This window comes from Homo sapiens, chromosome X (assembly GCF_000001405.40).
Source record: "Homo sapiens chromosome X, GRCh38.p14 Primary Assembly".
Lineage (NCBI taxonomy): Eukaryota > Metazoa > Chordata > Mammalia > Primates > Hominidae > Homo > Homo sapiens.
The window spans coordinates 131,798,129-131,815,363 of NC_000023.11; the positions used below are offsets into that span (position 1 = coordinate 131,798,129).

Below are 17,235 nucleotides of genomic sequence, written 5' to 3' on the forward strand. Positions count from 1 at the left end.
ATTAGCTGGGCACATTGGCGCACGCTTGTAATCCCAGCTACTCGGGAGGCTGAGACATAGGTATTGCTTGAACCCAGGAGGCGGAGATTGCAGCCAAGATGGTGCCACTACACTCCAGCCTGGGTGACAGAGTGAGAGACTCTGTCTCTAAATAAATAAATAAATAAATACATAAAGTGGGGTATTGAAGTCACTAACTTACTTTTTAGAACTCTATTTTTTCCTTTAGTTCTGTTCAGTTTTTGCCTCATGTATTTGGGGACTCTTGTAAAATAAATATGTATGTTTAATTAGTACATCTTGACAGACTGACCTTATCATTATATAATGTCCATCTTTGTCTCTTGAAACAATTATTGTCTTAAGGTATATTTTGTCTGGTATCAGTACAGTCAGACCAATTTTCTTTTGGTTACTTTTTACATGAAATATTTTTTTCATGCTATTACTGTTAACCATTTGTGAATTGGATCTAAAGCCAACTCTTTTAGACAGCTAGAGTTGGATGTTCTAAAAAATCCATTCTGCCAATCTTTGCCTTGGAGTTTAATCCATTTAAAGTAATTACTGGTAAAGAGGGACTTATTCCTGCTATTTTGTTATGTATTTTCTGTATGTCTTATAGCTTTTTTCTCAATTCCATAATTCCTACCTTCTTTTGTGATTAATTGATCTTTTCTAGTGCACCATTTTTATTCCTTTCTATTTCTTTTTCTCTATATACTAATTTTTTTCTTTATGTTATCCTGCAGAATACAATTAATATCTTAATTTTAGAGTAATCAATTTTTATTAAACTACAAAGTAGTTTATATAGTACATAAAACCTACTCCTTTAAAGCTCTAATCCCTTTTGTGTTATTTTTACAAACGACATCATTAAACATTGTGTACCTATTAATGCAGACTTATAATTATTGTTTCATTCATTTGTTTTTAAAATCATATGGGAAGGAAAGGGAATTATAAACCAAAAATATAATTCTTCTGGCTTTTTTATGTATCTATGTAGCTACCCTTTTCTTTGTTCCTTATTTCTTCATATGGTTTTGAGTTACTATCTAGCGTATTTTCATTTCATCCTGAGAGACTCCTTTTTGCATTTCTGTTATGGGAGGTCTATTACTGGTGGAATCTGTAAGTTTTTTTCTATCTAGGAATGTCTTAATTTCTCCTTCATTTCTGAAAGTTAGTCTTGGGGGATATGGAATTATTGACAAGTTTGTTTGCTTTAGAACTTCAAATATGTTATCCCACTGCCTTTTGGCTTCCATGGTTTCTGAAGAAAAACTGGCTGCTAATCTTATTGAGGAGTCCTTGTATATAATTAAGCCCTTTCTCTTATGATGCTTTCAAGATTCTTGCTTTGTCTTTGTCTTATGACAGCAGGATTATAAGCTTTCTCATTGTAGATTTCTTCGGGTTTATCTTACATAGAGTTTGTTGAGCTTCTTGCATGTTTATATTCATGTGTTTCAATTGCTCTAGCTTCACATTCACTGACTTTTTTCTAACTGTTCTAATCTGCTGTTGGAAACTTCCAGTGATCTTTTTTTTTTCATTTCAGTTTCTGTACTTTTCAGTTCCAAAAGTTATATTTGTTTTTTTAAAAAATAATTTCTCTCTCTTTATTGATGTTCTCTACTTGGTGAGACATTATTCTCTTGGTTTCTTTTAGTTCTTTGTGTTTCATTTATGGTAACACTTTGAGCATATTTAAGAGAGTTGACATAACTCTTTTCTAGTAAGCCCAATGCCTGGGCTTCCTTCTGCACAGTTTCTATGAATTTCTCTTTTCCCTGTGAGTAGGCCATACCTTCTTGTTTTCTTTGCATGTCTTATGTTTTGTTTATCATTAAAAATTAAATGTTTTGGGCCGGGTGCGGTGGCTCACGCCTGTAATCCCAGCACTTTGGGAGGCCAAGGTGGGCGGATCACGAGGTCAGGAGATCAAGACCATCCTGGCCAACATGGTGAAACCCGTCTCTACTAAAAATACAAAAATTAGCTGGGTGTGGTGGCGCGTGCCTGTAGTCTCGGCTACTCGGGAGGCTGAGGCAGGAGAATGACTTGAACCCAGGAGGCAGAGGTTGCAGTGACCCGAGACCACGCCACTGCACTCCAGCCTGGTGACAGAGCAAGACTCCATCTCAATAAATAAATAAATAAATAAATAAAAATAAAAATTAGATGTTTTGATATCATACTGTATCAACTCTGGAAATTAGATTTCTAAACACACTTGCCTCCCCACCCCATGGGGTTAGTTGATAGCAGTTGTGTGTTGTTGTTTGTTATTTGCTTTTTTAGTAACTTTTCTTAAATATTTTTGTAAAGTCTGTATTTTTATCATTTGTAGCCACTGGAGTCAGTGTTCTGATAGCTTAGTGGTCACCTAGTACTCTGACAGTTTCCTTAAACACGTGGAGCCTAAGAAAGAAAGAAAAGTAGCTGGGTGCGGTGGCTCATGCCTGTAATCCCAGCACTTTGGGAGGCTGAGGCAGGTGGATCACCTGAGGTCAGGAGTTCGAGGCTAGCCTGGTCAACATGGTGAAACCCTGTCTCTACTAAAAATACAAAAATTAGCTAGGCATGGTGGCGCAAGCCTGTAATCCCAGCTACTCTGGAGGCTGAGGCAGGAGAATCGCTTGAACCCGGGAGGCGGAGGTTCAGTGAGCCGAGATCGTGCCATTGTACTCCAGCCTGGGCTACAAGAGCGAAACTCCGTCTCAAAAAAAAAAAAAGAAAGAAAGAAAGAAAGAAAGAAAGAAAGAAAGATAAGTATTCTCTAAGTCCTTGAAAACTGGCTCTGTGTGTTGGGGCACTCTTTCAACTAGCCAGGCTGTAGTCTTCACTTCTAGCTTGCAAGGGGCCTGAAAGCTAGTGAGATCTGAGACCTTAAGCTCTTCTCAGGCATTTTCTGCATAATTGTCCAGCCCTGCCCATGTGCATGGCTTTCTTATTTCTCTAGTGTATACAAGAACATTTTAAAGTTCTTATTCCCCCAAGTATTTCCTTTCATAGCCTCTTCCTTCCCATGCTTTTCCATCTGCTTATTGTTTATTTTAACTGTTGTCCCTTGCCTCAGATTCTTATAGCCAGTACTTGTGTCTTTAAGTTTTTTCAACACATGCCCCTCAGGAGTTGTTCCAAACTTGGAAACACTCCAAGTGAGGCAAAACAAAAAGCAAGCTCTTACACCAATCCTTTAGGGAGCCAAAAGACAGATCAAACTGGAATGCAACAATTCTTTGAGAATAAGTTCTGTATTATACCTATGCACGAGGGTAGGAGCTATACTGAAGGCACTGTGGAGGCTGGGGGATGGTAGACAGGTAATTTAAAATGCCGCAGCTCTCTTGCTCTCTCACCACAAAGCAGTCACTTATTTCTTCACCAAGGCTTCCCTGGGTGTTGTAAGTTTTTGACAAGCTCTAGAGTTCTGTAAAAGTGGATTCTGACACTTCTTTCTTTCTTTCTTTCTTTTTTTGAGACGGAGTCTCGCTCTGTCGCCCAGGCTGGAGTGCAGTGGAGCGATCTCGGCTCACTGCAAGCTCCGCCTCCCAGGTTCACGCCATTCTCCTGTCTCAGCCTCCCGAGTACCTGGGAGTACAGGCGCCCGCCACCAGGCCCAGCTAATTTTTTGTATTTTTAGTAGAGACAGGGTTTCACCGTGTTAGCCAGGATGGTCTCGATCTCCTGACCTCGTGATCCACCCGCCTCGGCCTCCCAAAGTGCTGGGATTACAGGCGTGAGCCACGGCGCGGGGCCGACACTTCTTTCTAGTTCATGCCTGGCTCTTGCTGCTTTTGTGGAGGGATGATGTGCCAACGTGTCCTCCTTCATGATCTTCAGTGACATCATTTTTGCCACCTGATTTTTGCACTTCTAGAAATAATCACATTTCTTTGCAATGTTCCTTCTACAACAGGCATGTATGAAGTCATAGAGTGATATCACAAGGAATGACACCTCTGGCAGGCAAGGACTTGGAAATATGTGTTCATTTTCAATCCTTTTCACTGTCTGTGTTGAAATAGCTTAGTCATATGTAAAACATCTAAATTAGATTGAATTATACTTCAGTTTTTGTTTATGCTTGGCTAACATATTTGGATTACTTCTTCTCCATCTGTTTTTTCATATCTACTCCTTTAGACGTTTCATTACTTCTTGGTTTGACTACGTGGCCCCACTTCTCCTCAATTCCTCCTGGCTGCAGGCAGTGAATCTAGATGTTTGACCTGAGATCTTCAGCAAGCACACTTGCCTCTGCAATGTCATCTGGAATTGGCCTGTTCTTTGTGTTCTGACACAGCTGCCACAAGAAACCAACGTCCCATAGCTTCTTTGAGGAGTCCTTGTATATAATAAGGCCTTCATCATAGGATGGTGGTACCACGTGAAAGCCTGCTAACTCTTGCTCCAAGGGGCAGGAATAGGAGACAGATGCCCAAAGAGCTTGCATTTGTGTTTGAGTGGGTCCCTCAAGTCCTGACCACACCAGGAGGAAGTGAGGCCCCGCCCCACGACTTCTGTGCCAGTACCGCCTGGCAGCTGATGGTTCACTCCAAGCCCCTCACTCTCCAGGTTTTATACCAAGATACCACCAATGTCCAGGTCTCTCTGTTAAGGCCTTAGAGGAGAAGGCAAGGAGGCTCAGCATGAAGCCCCAGCCTCTTCCACCTACCCACAGACCAGACCTTCCCCAACAGCTGGGCCTCAAGGGAAGAACGCTGTAATGGCGTATTCTGTCTTTAAATGATTTCCTCACAGGGGCAGTAGTGCTGCATATTTTCAAGGAAACCTGCCTTGGGGCACTCTTCTCCCGCCCTTCCTGTGTGAAAAAACGCCACTCAGAGATAAAGGCGCCACCAAACATGGCTGCCTTGCATTTTGCCCAGTTTGGGGCGACCTGCTCATACTGCTGGAATTTTGCCTTTGTTTCCATCTTAAATCAAACCAGGGCCTAAACTACCCACTTTCCCCCCCCACCCCCCACTAAACACTCAATAACTTTATTTGCCTTTGGTTGGCTCCTGGGTTTGGGGCGGGGTAGGGGTTGGCAGCAGCCCGGGCTTCGTGCGCCCTCTGGTGGACCTCAGAGGCAAGAACTGGAATCCCGGCCAAACCTGAGGACTTCACAGTCAATAGTTTAGGAGAGTTGCATGGTTCCTCAGGTCTGCAGTCCAGACCCAACAACAGTGGACGGGGCACGTTGGGAGGAGGCCCTGAACCTCTGGCTCTCATACTCGCCAGTGTTGGACACCCGCATGTTCTGCCGAGCCCTCATCTGTTTCACACGGTCCTTGTCCACTTCCTGCTTGGTGAGGATGAAGAGAAGGATACCACAAGGGAAGCCGATGGCCCAGGCCAGTCCCACAGCTTTCATGGGGTTCTTGCCCCTCTTTCTGGGAATGTATTACATCTCGGGGGATAGGAGTTCAGGTTCCTCCCTGCCTTCTTGGGAGCTGTGGGTTTGCAGTGCCTGGGTCCTGTTATGGGAAGCCTTGTTAGCTGTGGCTCCTGCGAGAATCCCCCGGAGGACGCGGGCATTTCTTGCCCTCCATCCCCCCGGCCCTTCAGCGCCTTAGCAGCTACCACCACCGCCATGTTCAGATCCCACCCTAAACCACCCACTTTTATCAGGCAATATTATCTTTCAAGAACTCAATTTCCACTTAACCTAGTCTTTGCAGTTCTGCTCTTAACTCAGTTTTACATCTCAAGCATTTTCCCTACATGATCAAATTGTTTACGTCTAGGGGCAAGTCTCAAGGAGCTAGGCCTAGGAGGAAGACGACAATTTTGAAAAATTAAGGGCAGGATTGGGGCATTTCTAGGCAGCAGGCCACATGTTCCTTAACTTGGCTTGCTATTGTTAAAGAGAAAATTATTCCAGCACCTGTTAAAGTGATAAGGAAGACTATTCAAGACTACTGCAATAGGGACATTGCAATAGGTGAGAAATAGATCAGTCTCCATTCTGAGCATAGCAAAGACAGCTGGAGATTTATAGTCAAGGAGCAGAGTGAGGGGGGTCAGTGCATGGAACATCACAGAGAGGAGACATCAAGGGTAGGGGAATTCTTGCCAAACTGAGTTAAGATTCTTATTAAAACTGGACTAGGCAAGCCAAAGACAGGACTCAAGAATGAGCTGTTAAAAAGAGGGCTCAGAGGAGCCTATCTACAATTTGGTCAAGGAGATAGCCTTTGTCAATATTCATGCCCTCAAGGAGTCTTTCTCCATTTACGGGGTTAGACTCTGTAAAATGAGAGGCAACTGTTTGCTTGGAGCCCTAAGAGGAAGGCTTAGATACCGCTCATCACTTCATGCCATAAATGCCCACTTTGAGTAGTATACATATATAAATACGTATAAACCCCTATCAGAAGTTACTAAAAGGTTGTCTCATGATTTCATCTTTTAACCTGGGAACACAAGCACTTTCTCATATCATTAATTTATTTCACTTTATTTTTGTTTGTTGTCATTGTATTTCTTCTCATTTGAAATTAGTTACTTAGTTTCCTCAGAAAGTTAAGGAAAATATTCATTGAAATAAATGACAAATATTACTGAACAGCTTAGTCATATTTCAACTTGTTAAATAGATTTAGGAGTAATTCAGTTTTTGTTTATGGTTGGCTATAATATTTGGACCATTTCTCCTCCATATCTCTCCAATGGAAACAAAATATATAGGACGAAATACAAAATTCTCCTTAAAAGTGTCAAAGAATTCACAAAAGAGAAAGTCTCAGATTAAAACTCTAATAGAGAGAATTAACGGGAACACCAGATTACCCAGTCTTTTTGGCCTTTTGGGTATTTGCTTACCTGGGTAGTATTGGCCTTCATTTTCAGGGACCTCACAGGTGGCAAAGAGCAGAAGATAGAAAAAGCCTGAAGGGAAGTATAACGATTAAAAAATAAAACACACTTAGGGATTTTCCTTTAACACAAGCACTTATCCCACATGGTTACAGGTTGGTTCTATGAATTCTTTTTCTTTTTTTTAAGATGGAGTTTCACTCTTTGTGCCCAGGCTGGAGTGCAATGGTGCGATCCCGGCTCACTGCAACCTCCACCTCCTGGGTTCAAGTGATTCTCCTGCCTCAGCCTCCCAAGTAGCTGGATTACAGGTGCATGCCACCATGCCTAGCTAATTTTTGTGTTTTTAGTAGAGATGGGGTTTCGCCATGTTGGCCAGGCTGGTCTCGAACTCCTGACTTCAGGTGATCCGCCCGCCTGGGCCTCCCAAAGTGCTGGGATTACAGGCAGGAGCCACCATGCCGTCCGGTTTTATAAATTTTTAAGCAAAAGATGATTCCAATCTTATTCAAAATATTTTAGAGGGGAAATAGAGATGAATTACTTCCCAACATATTCTGAGCAACTTTTATAACATTGGTACCTAAATCAAACATAGATTGTGACTGAAGAGAAAAATACAAACTCACTTCAATTATAAGTGAAGACTTAAAAATTGAAAGATATGAGCATATTTAATCCATAGTTCTGTAAAAGACAATAAACTATGATCAACTTGGATTTATCTCATGACTGAAAGGGAGTTAAAACAGTGCAAAAGGACTAAATGTCATACACCACTTTTCCAAATAAAGGAGAAAAGTATATGGTCATCTCGATGCAGAAAAATAAAAATATTTGGTAAATTCAACAGCACTTACAATATAAACTTTTAGGAAGCCACGAATATAAAGGAACTTCCATAATCTGGTTATTATATCATTTAATCATTGCTCTGTGAAAAACTATTTTTTAACTCAGTGGCTTAAAAAACAAGCACTTATCATAACTAAAAAATCTACAAGTAAGGCCAAGTGCGGTGGCTCACGCCTGTAATTCCAGCACTTTGGGAGGCTGAGGTAGGCAGATCACCTGAGGTCAGGAGTTCGAGACAGCCTGGCCAACGTGGTGAAACCCTGTCACTACTAAAATTACAAAAATTAGCTGGGCGTGGTGGCATGCTCCTGTAGTCCCAGCTACTCGGGAGGCTGAGGCAGGAGATTTGCTTGAAACTGGGAAGCACAGATTGCAGTGAGCCAAGATCATGCCACTGCACTCCAGCCTGGGCGACAGAGCAACACTCTGTCTCAAAAAAAAAAAAAAAAAAAAAAAGAATCTACAAATATACTGTGTTGTTGTTATCATGGTCTTGCCTGGATTGTCAAGCATCTGGCATCAGCACTGGGTCAGGTTGGCAGCTCTGCTAATGCTATCTCTTACATGTTTGGGGGTAAATTCACTGTAGAGACTGCTGGTCTCTCCTCCCCATCCTGCAACAGGCCAGCCTGAGCATATTCATACACTGGTAGCAGGTTTGCAAGGAAAAGTGGAAGCACACAAGTCTTGTGAGACTCAGAGCTGACACACCATGACTTCAGAATTTTATTAACTAAATCAAGTCACAAAGACAGCCCAGATTCAAGAAATAGGGAAAAAGAGTCCACCTTTTTCCTGGAAAAGGAACTGAAAATTCACATTCACCCTAGGAGGAGAATTTAGGACGTTTTCATGTTCAATTTAGTAGAGATATCTACAAAAACCTACATCTAACATAATGCTTAATGGGAAAATAGCTAAAGAATTCCTTTCACAGCCATGAATAATAGAAGGCTACTCAATTATAGCAATTCTACCAAAAAGAGTCCTGAAGGCAATGAAAAAAGAAAAATGAAATGAAAACAGGATTAGAAAAGAAGAAAAGTAAAATGTGATATATATTGTATAATTTTATACATGTGTAAAATAAGAGAATACATCAAACTGGGCATAAGATCAATATATAAAAGTAAACTGTATTTCTATATAGCAAAGGGCATTAGAAAACATAAATTTAAAGAAGACACCATGTGCAATAGCATCAATAACTATAAACGAACTAGGGATAGGCCGGGCTCGGTGGCTCACGCCTGTAATCCCAGCACTTTGAGAGGCCGAGGTGGGTGGATGACCTGAGGTCAGGAGTTCGAGATCAGCCTGGTCAACATGGGGAAACCCTGTCTCTACTAAAAATACAAAAAAATTGGCCAGGTGTGGTGGCAGGCATCTGTTATCCCAGTTACTTGGGAGGCTGAGGCAAGAGAATCACTTGAATCCGGGAGGCGGAGGTTGCAGTGAGCTGAGATCGCGCCATTGCACTGGGGCAACAAGAATGAAACTCCGTCTCAAAAAAACAAACAAAAATAAATTAACTAGGAATAAAAGATGTGTAAGACTTTTCATTTGAAAATCATATAAAATTGCTAAGTAGGCCGGGCACAGTCGCTCATTCCTGTAATCCCAGCACTTTGGGAGGACTAGGCAGGCAGATCACCTGAGGTCGGGAGTTCGAGACTAGCCTGACCAACATGGAGAAACCCCATCTCTACTAAAAATACAAAATTAGCCAGGCGTGGTGGCACATGCCTGTAATCCCATCTACTCGGGAGGCTGAGGCAGGAGAATCGCTTGAACCCGGGAGGTGGAGGTTGCGGTGAGCCGAGATCATGGCATTGCACTCTAGCCTGGGCAACAAGAGCGAAACCCTGTCTCAAAAAAAAAAAAATTACTAAGTAATAGTAAAGAAGATTGAAATAAATGCAGACACCATGATCAAACATAGGAAAATGCAGTATCATAAAGGTATCAGTTCTATGACAATTGATTTATTGGTTCAGTACTACTCTATTTATCATTGCAAAATGTCCGTCTTTTTATGTTTTAGTGCTTTTCACTTCAAAAGCGCATTTCTCTGATATTAATATTGGTACTGCTACTTTCCTTTGGTATGATATTTATTTGCCCCAACCTTAATTTTCAAAACTTCCTATAATTCTTGGCTTTAAGTGACTTAATTTTTAAAAGCACTGTATAGGGTTGTTTTTGTTATTGTTTTGCGTTTTGTATTTTAGCCCAATATAATGACTTCTGTCTTTTGAGGAGATAATTGTGTCCACTCACGTTTACTGTAATGAAGAAAACACTTAACTTTATTCCTGCCTTCCTACATTATGTTTATTACTTTTTTTTCCACTTCATTTCTGATGTTTGAGTTGTTGATTATATCTTTTTACCAATTGTTAATTTCCATTAATAGTTACCTTCATTTCTCCATGTCTACCAATAGCCACATATTTTTCTAATGTTGCCCGAAACAAAGTACTATAAAGTCCCCCAAAGCACACTATTTCTTAGCTCAAGGTACCTAATATTCTTCCTCAAAACTAACCCAAGATGTTGTGTCCATTAAAATATGTATTCCAATTCGTCCTTTTATATTTTCCCCACTTAAAAGATTTGTTAAAATTCTTTAATATTTTTATTCTGTACTCATGTTATGTCCTTTGCAGTATAGTCCCTCAATTATGACTATTTAGAGTGCTTATGTCTTCCATTTATGAAGAGTGTAAGGTCTTTATTCCTGTTTCTCCTTCTTCATCCACTTCAGTTCTCTTTTCTGGAATATTCATTTGGCTAGATTTCTTTTTTTTCTTTTTTTTTGAGGCAGAATGTTGTTCTGTCACCTGGGCTGGAGTGCAATGGCGAGATCTCGGCTCACTGCCACCTCTGCCTTCCAGTTTCAAGCGATTCTCCTGCCTCAGCCTCCCGAGTAGCTGGGATTACAGGCGCCCACCACCATGCCAGGCTAATTTTTGTAGTTTTAGTAGAGACGGGGTTTCACCATGTTGGCCAGGCTGCTCTCGAACTCCTGACCTCAGGTGGCCCACCTGCCTCAGCCTCCCAAAGTGCTGGGATTACAGGCGTGAGCCACCGCGCCCGGCCATGGCTAGATATTTATTCAAGTATTATCCTTATACAGGATATGTGGATGATATATTATCTGAAGGTTTCCATATGCACAAGGAACTTCTGTTCAGCCTGACTGATGAATAATTTCTTGGCTGGAGACACACAACGGTTATGTTGTATTCTCTCTCTCCTAATAGTCTATAGATGTTATTCCATTGATACTTGTTTGCCAGTGTTGCAGAGAAGTCAGAATGGAGTCTCATTCCAATATTTCTTTTGTAAGTTTTAATTTTTACCTGGGAAGATTATAAGGTGACTTTTTAATAATTCTAGTATTTTACCAACATATGCTTAGTGCATATCTTTATTCCGTTCTATACCACAGTGAGACTCTACAATCTGGGCCTTCTTCAATTGTGGGAAGTTTTCTTCTACTTGTTGCCTTAAATTTTGCCTTGTTTATTCTGTTTTTTCCCTATTGTAACATCTTTTAGTAATATGTTAAAACCTTAGATCTTTAAGGTTATTAACTTTTCCTTATTTTTCCCATTGCTTTATTTTTTCCTTTGTTTTGAGATATGTTATGCAGTTGATCCTTCTAGCCTGTCATTCAATGTCAGTTGATCTCCCTTTCAAAACTTTTCCTAATGGTTTAGCATTTTCCTAAATAAAGGCTTTTGGGAGGCATCTGAATCTTAATAATTTCATATTTGTTTTTTAATTCAAGTTGTCATTTTTCTCATCTAGCTACTGTATTTGCTGATTCAAAGGTTGGCTTGTTCAGAGGCTGTTAGGGGCCTAAGGCTGCTTATGCCTCTTAAGTGGGCTACAATTTATTTTGTTGGAGTTATTAAGTAACAAGTAGCTGAAATTCCACAAGTGGTAGAGTATAAAGTGTTCTTTACTCCTGTCAGCTACTGGAATACCACCATCAAGGACAATAGCTAACAAATATCGAACACTTAACCACATACCAGGGAATATTCTAAGGATCTGAATACAAATTCATATATTTATTCTTTACAACATCCTTCTAATGTAAGTAGTATGATTCTAGCCACTTACTTAACGAGGACAGATAGCAAATAAAGTTTTTTTTGTATTTGTTTTTTTTTGTTTTGTTTTGTTTTGTTTTTTTGCGACACAGTCTTGATCTGTTGCCCAGGCTGGAGTGCAGTGGTGTGGTCTCTGCTCACTGCAACCTCCGCCTCCTGGGTTCAAGCGATTCTCCTTGGGTTCAAGCGATTCTCCTTCCTTAGCCTCCTGAGTAGCTGAGGTTACAGGCAACTGCCACCATGCCCAGCTAATTTTCTTTTGTGTTTTTAGTAGAGACGGAGTTTCACCTTGTTGGTCAGGCTGGTCTCGAACTCCTGACTTTGTGATCCGCCCGCCTCAGCCTCCCAAAGCGCTGGGATTACAGGCATGAGCCATCGTGCCCAGCTGCAAAGAAAGTTTAAATACCTTATGCAAAGTCACAGAAGAATAGTTAGAAACAAATTTTAAAATCGGATTAGTCAGGCTTCAGAATTCACATTCTTAAGATCTAGATTAGGCAAACTGTCAGCTCACTTCCAAGGCACTTTGAGGAAGCCTCCCAACTTTTATTGGTTTTCTTGCATTCTCCAAGTCTCAGGTCCAGGGAGGACTCAGGTAACAAATTCAGTTCTATCTTGTATTCTTGGCATAGGGGAACAACTGGCAAAAATAAGTCCGACTCAGTTGACCTTCCAATTATTAGTCCACCTGTTTATCAGGCCAAGCCCTTTCCACAATCTGTTCCTTTTCATTGCAAGCTTTAAAAATTCTGGCCAGGTGTGGTGGCTCGCGCCTGTAATCCCAGCACTTTGGGAGGGTGAGGCGGGAGGATCACGAGGTCAAGAGATCAAGACCATCCTGCCAATGTGGTGAAACCCCTTCTCTACTAAAACAAATACAAAAATTAGCTGGGCTTGGTGGCATGCGCCTGTAGTCCCAGCTACTCAGGAGGCTGAGGCAGAAGAATTGCTTGAACCCAGGAGGCAGAGGTTGCAGTGAGCTGAGATAGCGTCACTGCACTCCAGCCTGGCGAGCAGCTCAAGGGAGAAATTCCCATAAAGACCCCACTTATCCCTAGCTACCTATAGGCCCAAGGACCCCTTTGGCTCAGAAAAAAAAAGATAAATTAGAGTTGGGAATGTAGAAATATACAGTCACATTCAGGTTCTAATGTTTTAATTTTTAAAAATGCCGACGTTGTTTAACTATATTTATGGGTATATGGGTATTCGTTAAGGCTGTTTGCCAAATATTTCAATTACTCCTCCTAGATACTGTTAAGATAGTGGTATTTGGCTAAGGGATGGAGTCAAAACCATAGATCTGATTAAATAAATACCTAACCTACTCCTGAAATCCTGCCAGAATCCTTTATAGGAGAACATAACCAGGACATAGAGCAAAACAGCCAGATTACATAGTCCATACAGATTAGCCATTTGATACACAGAGAAGTAGAGAAAAATGAAGAGTGGATTAAAGAGGAGAAAATAGAAATATCAGGGAAAAAAATCCAACATACGCTATTATGCAATTGGTGTTTAAAGAAAAAATACATACAGATTATAGTAATACGATAGGTCATTTTGTGTTCACTTATCTGAATTCCATATTTTCTAAATATTCTGTATTGAGTCTATTACTTTTAATTTTAAATATTTCTACTTATAAATATTTATATAAATAAAAATATTTCTATTTCTTATAAATAAATAGCTATTTTCATATTTTTAAATTATACTTTTGGATAACTAAAGTACAACTGTCAAAATGCTCATACTATAACCAAGAGAAAAAGTATAAAAGAAAAAATATGCAGGACAATGCCCAATTTTTGTAAACATGTATGTGTATATACAAATTAAAATTTATCGGCCAGGCGCACTGGCTCACACCTGTACTCCCAGCACTTTGGGAGGCCAAGGCGGGCCAATCACCTGAGGTCAGGAGTTCGAGATCAGCCTGGCCAGCATGGCGAAACTCCGTCTCTACTAAAAATATAAAAATTAGCTGGTCACGGTGGCACACGCCTGTAATCCCAGCTACTTGGGAGGCTGAGGCAGGAGAATCACTTGAACCCAGGAAGCAAGAGGTTGCAGTGAGCCGAAATTGCGTCACTGCTCTCTAGCCTGGGTGGCAGAGCAAGGCTCTGTCTCAAAAATAGAAAAAAAAGGCCGGGCACGGTGGCTCATGCCTGTAATCCCAGCACTTTGGGAGGCCGAGACGGGCAGATCATCTAAGGTCGGGAGTTTGAGACCAGCCTGACCAACATGGGGAAACCCCATCTCTACTAAAAAAAAATACGAAATTAGCCGAGTGTGGTGGCACATGCCTGTAATCCCAGCTACTAGGGAGGCTGAGGCAGGAGAATCGCTTGAACCTGGGAGGCGGAGGTTGCGGTGAGCTGAGATTGTGCCATTGCACTCCAGCCTGGGCAACAAGAGCGAAACTCCATCTCAAAAAAAAAAAATTATCAATATATTTAGGTAAATAAAGCATAAAGATGTGATCAGTGTTTGTCTCAAGACTGTGGAATGATAAATAGGGTGAACATTCCTTTCAGTGTGCCTTAGGAAGTCACGGTTCACACAGTTGTCCAACTTGGACAATAAATTATACAATTATCTAAGGAGGATACACAATGTACATTCTCTACCTAACTGCCCAATTAATTATTTAAAATGTGTTGTTTCTTTATTCATTCAAAGCATCGTGTATGTGAAAATTAAAACATGAATATATGAGGCATAAAAATATAAAAGTGTAAGAAAAGGTCATACGATAAAGTTGATAATGTTTTAACATATTAGTTCAAAACCTATGGAACAGCTTAACTCTGATGTCTTTAAATGATAATAGCTAAATATGAGTATTTATTTTGAACATCAAGTTTGAGCAACTGAAATATTTATTAGTGAGTTCTCCATCTGGAAAGACATTTAAAAAGAAGGATGCCATTTTGGTTACTTTCTAAAATATGTGAGCCAGAAAATGGAGTACGCCATAAGAGCCTGGGAAATGAGCCAGGTCAAAGACCACAACGTCTGATGGAGACAGATAGCCAAGCCTCATACAAGCTTTGGAGTTCCAGCAATATCTTTTCCTCATGCACGGACTCCTTGGGACTTGAACCTTGTATCAGAAAACTTGAAAATGGGGAAAATCCTGCATATCTAATGGTGACCGATGAGGAGATCTATGAAGCTGTAGTAGAGGAAACTGAATTACTGAAAAGAAAAGATGCCTAATGAGAGTGGGTGGTTTTAGGCTTCAGTTTGATTGTATATGGAAAGCAAAAGCAAAAGCGCAGCGGTGTGAGCAAGTTTCTTCAAACTGGGCAAGACACAAGGTAGCCATATTTCCTGGTGGCTTTGCCTGTTAGTGGTGGTTTTTTTCAGATGGAATGGGAGGGAGAAGAAGGCCTGGGGGCAGGGTTAGTTGGCTTTTCTGGGCCCATACTGCCATCGCGAGGAAGTAGTTTGACAAAAGCAAAAGCTTCGGGTTTGAACTTCCCTCCTATCTAGCAGTTAAGAAAGATGTAGCAAATTCAAAGGTTCAACAGGGCCTGACCCCAAGATGGGCCTTCTCAACTTCAACTCTTAGGCTTTCCAGGAGTTCAGTCTGGACAAAGGCAAAATCTCAGTGAAGAAGCTGCTAAGTAAGGTACCAGGACTGATGCAGGGCTTTGGTTTCCTCTCACTGTGGGCAGGACTATGGAAAAACTACAGTCTACACACAGCTTCTGGGCATTGGTCTCCTGACCCTGCCCCTTAGACCATGAGACATTTGGGCTGGCACAAGATATCCCTGTACTTTGGGGTATGGGCCCCAATGTTAGCAACGTTAGAATGTGAGGAGGGGGAAATGAATCTCATTCGAGGTGGCATCTAACAGCAGCTGGAGGTCTCAGGGACACCAAAAGTCTGGTGCCTCTGTTGCCTAGAGCAAGAAGGATCTGAGGAAAAGGAGCATGTGTCACTGTGCCAAGTCAATAAATTCCAGAACATCAATAAGAGTGCAGATATACACAACCAGAAGGCCTGGAGGTATTCTCTGAGCCCAGGAGTTAACAGCTGTAGTGGCTTTGCAGCATTTTTTTCTAGGGTCCATTGTGAAGGCATACCCACGTGGAGGGATCTGCTCTCATTTCATCTCTCTTAATGGGACAGAAATGGTTTCTTTAGCTTTCTTCTAAGGAAGATGAGGCTTTTAAGGCTCAGGATCTAACTGTTCATTAAGATTAGCAAGTATTGTTCTCTGTGCCTGCTCCTTAGCCTTTTTCTGATGAAGATTCCTTGTAGGCCTGACAAGATATCCTTCAGGGAGTTGAGTACATCAGGACCCCCAGAAAACTTGCCTCTTTAGTACCACTCTTTCGTACCAGGGATGATCTCTGTACATGATCCTTTAGAGAAAATGCTGAGCAGTCCATGAAAACAAGCATGAGTATTTTGATATTCTTTCTTCTGCTCTCTTCTAAATCTATTCCATTTGAATATTTGCATGAGTACGTGTATGTGTGACACTCATGGGTTTGTTGGTATGACTTTAGGCTTCCCCATAGTTTGCAGATCTCCTTGGGTTTTGAAATTTTTCCTTTTCCTTTTCCCTTTTATTATAAGGCCACCGCATGGGTCATTAAATATCCTTCGGATGGTTGGATTTTGTGTTACTTATAAATTTGCCCAAAGATTTTTGTTTTCTTCACCATAAAAAGTGATTTTTTAAAATTTCCATATGTAAACAGAGCAATGTATAATTTTCAGAGAAACTGATTCTTACACTGAAGGCTATTTTAAAACCTGAAAGGTATACCTTTGTTTCTTGATTTCCAATGTAAACTTTGCTTGTTACTATTTCAAACGTGGAGACATGTATAACGTTAATACTTGAGGGCATGGCCTTAAAATAATTACTCCAGGAAGGTAGACACAATGAGTATCTTCGTTAGAAGACTGCAAATTCATTCTTTAGAATTCATATATATGCACTCAACTTACAGTAGTCATACATGGAATAAGTAGAGAGAGATAGACTTTATTTTTTCCTTTGTTTTCTCTTTTTTTTTTTTTTTTTTTTTGAGACGGAGTCTTGCTTTGTCGCCCAGGCTGGAGTGCAGCGGCGGGATCTCGACTCACTGCAAGCTCCGCCTTCCAGGTTCACGCCATTCTTCTGCCTCAGCCTCCCGAGTAGCTGGGACTACAGGCACCCGCCACCATGCACAGCTAATTTTTTGTATTTTTAGTAGAGACGGGGTTTCACCATGTTAGCCAGGATAGTCTCGGTCTCCTGAACTCGTGATCTGCCTGCCTCAGCCTCCCAAAGTGCTGGGATTACAGGTGTGAGCCACCGCACTTGGCTTGTTTTCTTGTATTAGTAAACTAGGATGGTTTGATCCCAAAGAGTCAATAATTTGCTTTAACCCCTAATCAAAGAGGT

General features: G+C 41.0%; 1 long non-coding RNA gene and 1 pseudogene across 2 annotated transcripts in view, besides 4 other annotated features; both read right to left on the reverse strand.

Moving 5' to 3' along the window:
- Positions 1-17,235, reverse strand: part of FIRRE (firre intergenic repeating RNA element) — a 139,119-nt gene that overhangs the window by 106,604 nt on the left and 15,280 nt on the right. Inside the window, exon 3 of one of the 2 annotated variants that reach the window (NR_026975.2) lies at positions 6,844-6,909. The exons of the other annotated variant lie outside the window; for it this stretch is intronic. This is a non-coding gene — a long non-coding RNA (firre intergenic repeating RNA element). The remainder of the gene's footprint in view (positions 1-6,843; positions 6,910-17,235) is intronic. 2 annotated transcript variants of the gene reach the window in all.
- Positions 4,940-5,440: an enhancer, noted in NCBI's record as "H3K4me1 hESC enhancer chrX:130937096-130937596 (GRCh37/hg19 assembly coordinates)". NCBI's record gives its function as "activates a minimal SCP1, AML or CMV promoter by ChIP-STARR-seq in primed H9 embryonic stem cells {active_cell/tissue: H9 hESC(primed)}" and the evidence as "EXISTENCE:reporter gene assay evidence [ECO:0000049][PMID:30033119]".
- Positions 4,989-5,038: a silencer, noted in NCBI's record as "silent region_21001". NCBI's record gives its function as "represses an Ori minimal core promoter by ATAC-STARR-seq in GM12878 lymphoblastoid cells {active_cell/tissue: GM12878}" and the evidence as "EXISTENCE:reporter gene assay evidence [ECO:0000049][PMID:35858748]".
- Positions 5,001-5,628, reverse strand: PNKDP1 (PNKD pseudogene 1; annotated as a pseudogene).
- Positions 5,441-5,941: an enhancer, noted in NCBI's record as "H3K4me1 hESC enhancer chrX:130937597-130938097 (GRCh37/hg19 assembly coordinates)". NCBI's record gives its function as "activates a minimal SCP1, AML or CMV promoter by ChIP-STARR-seq in primed H9 embryonic stem cells {active_cell/tissue: H9 hESC(primed)}" and the evidence as "EXISTENCE:reporter gene assay evidence [ECO:0000049][PMID:30033119]".
- Positions 14,933-15,202: an enhancer, noted in NCBI's record as "active region_29965". NCBI's record gives its function as "activates an Ori minimal core promoter by ATAC-STARR-seq in GM12878 lymphoblastoid cells {active_cell/tissue: GM12878}" and the evidence as "EXISTENCE:reporter gene assay evidence [ECO:0000049][PMID:35858748]".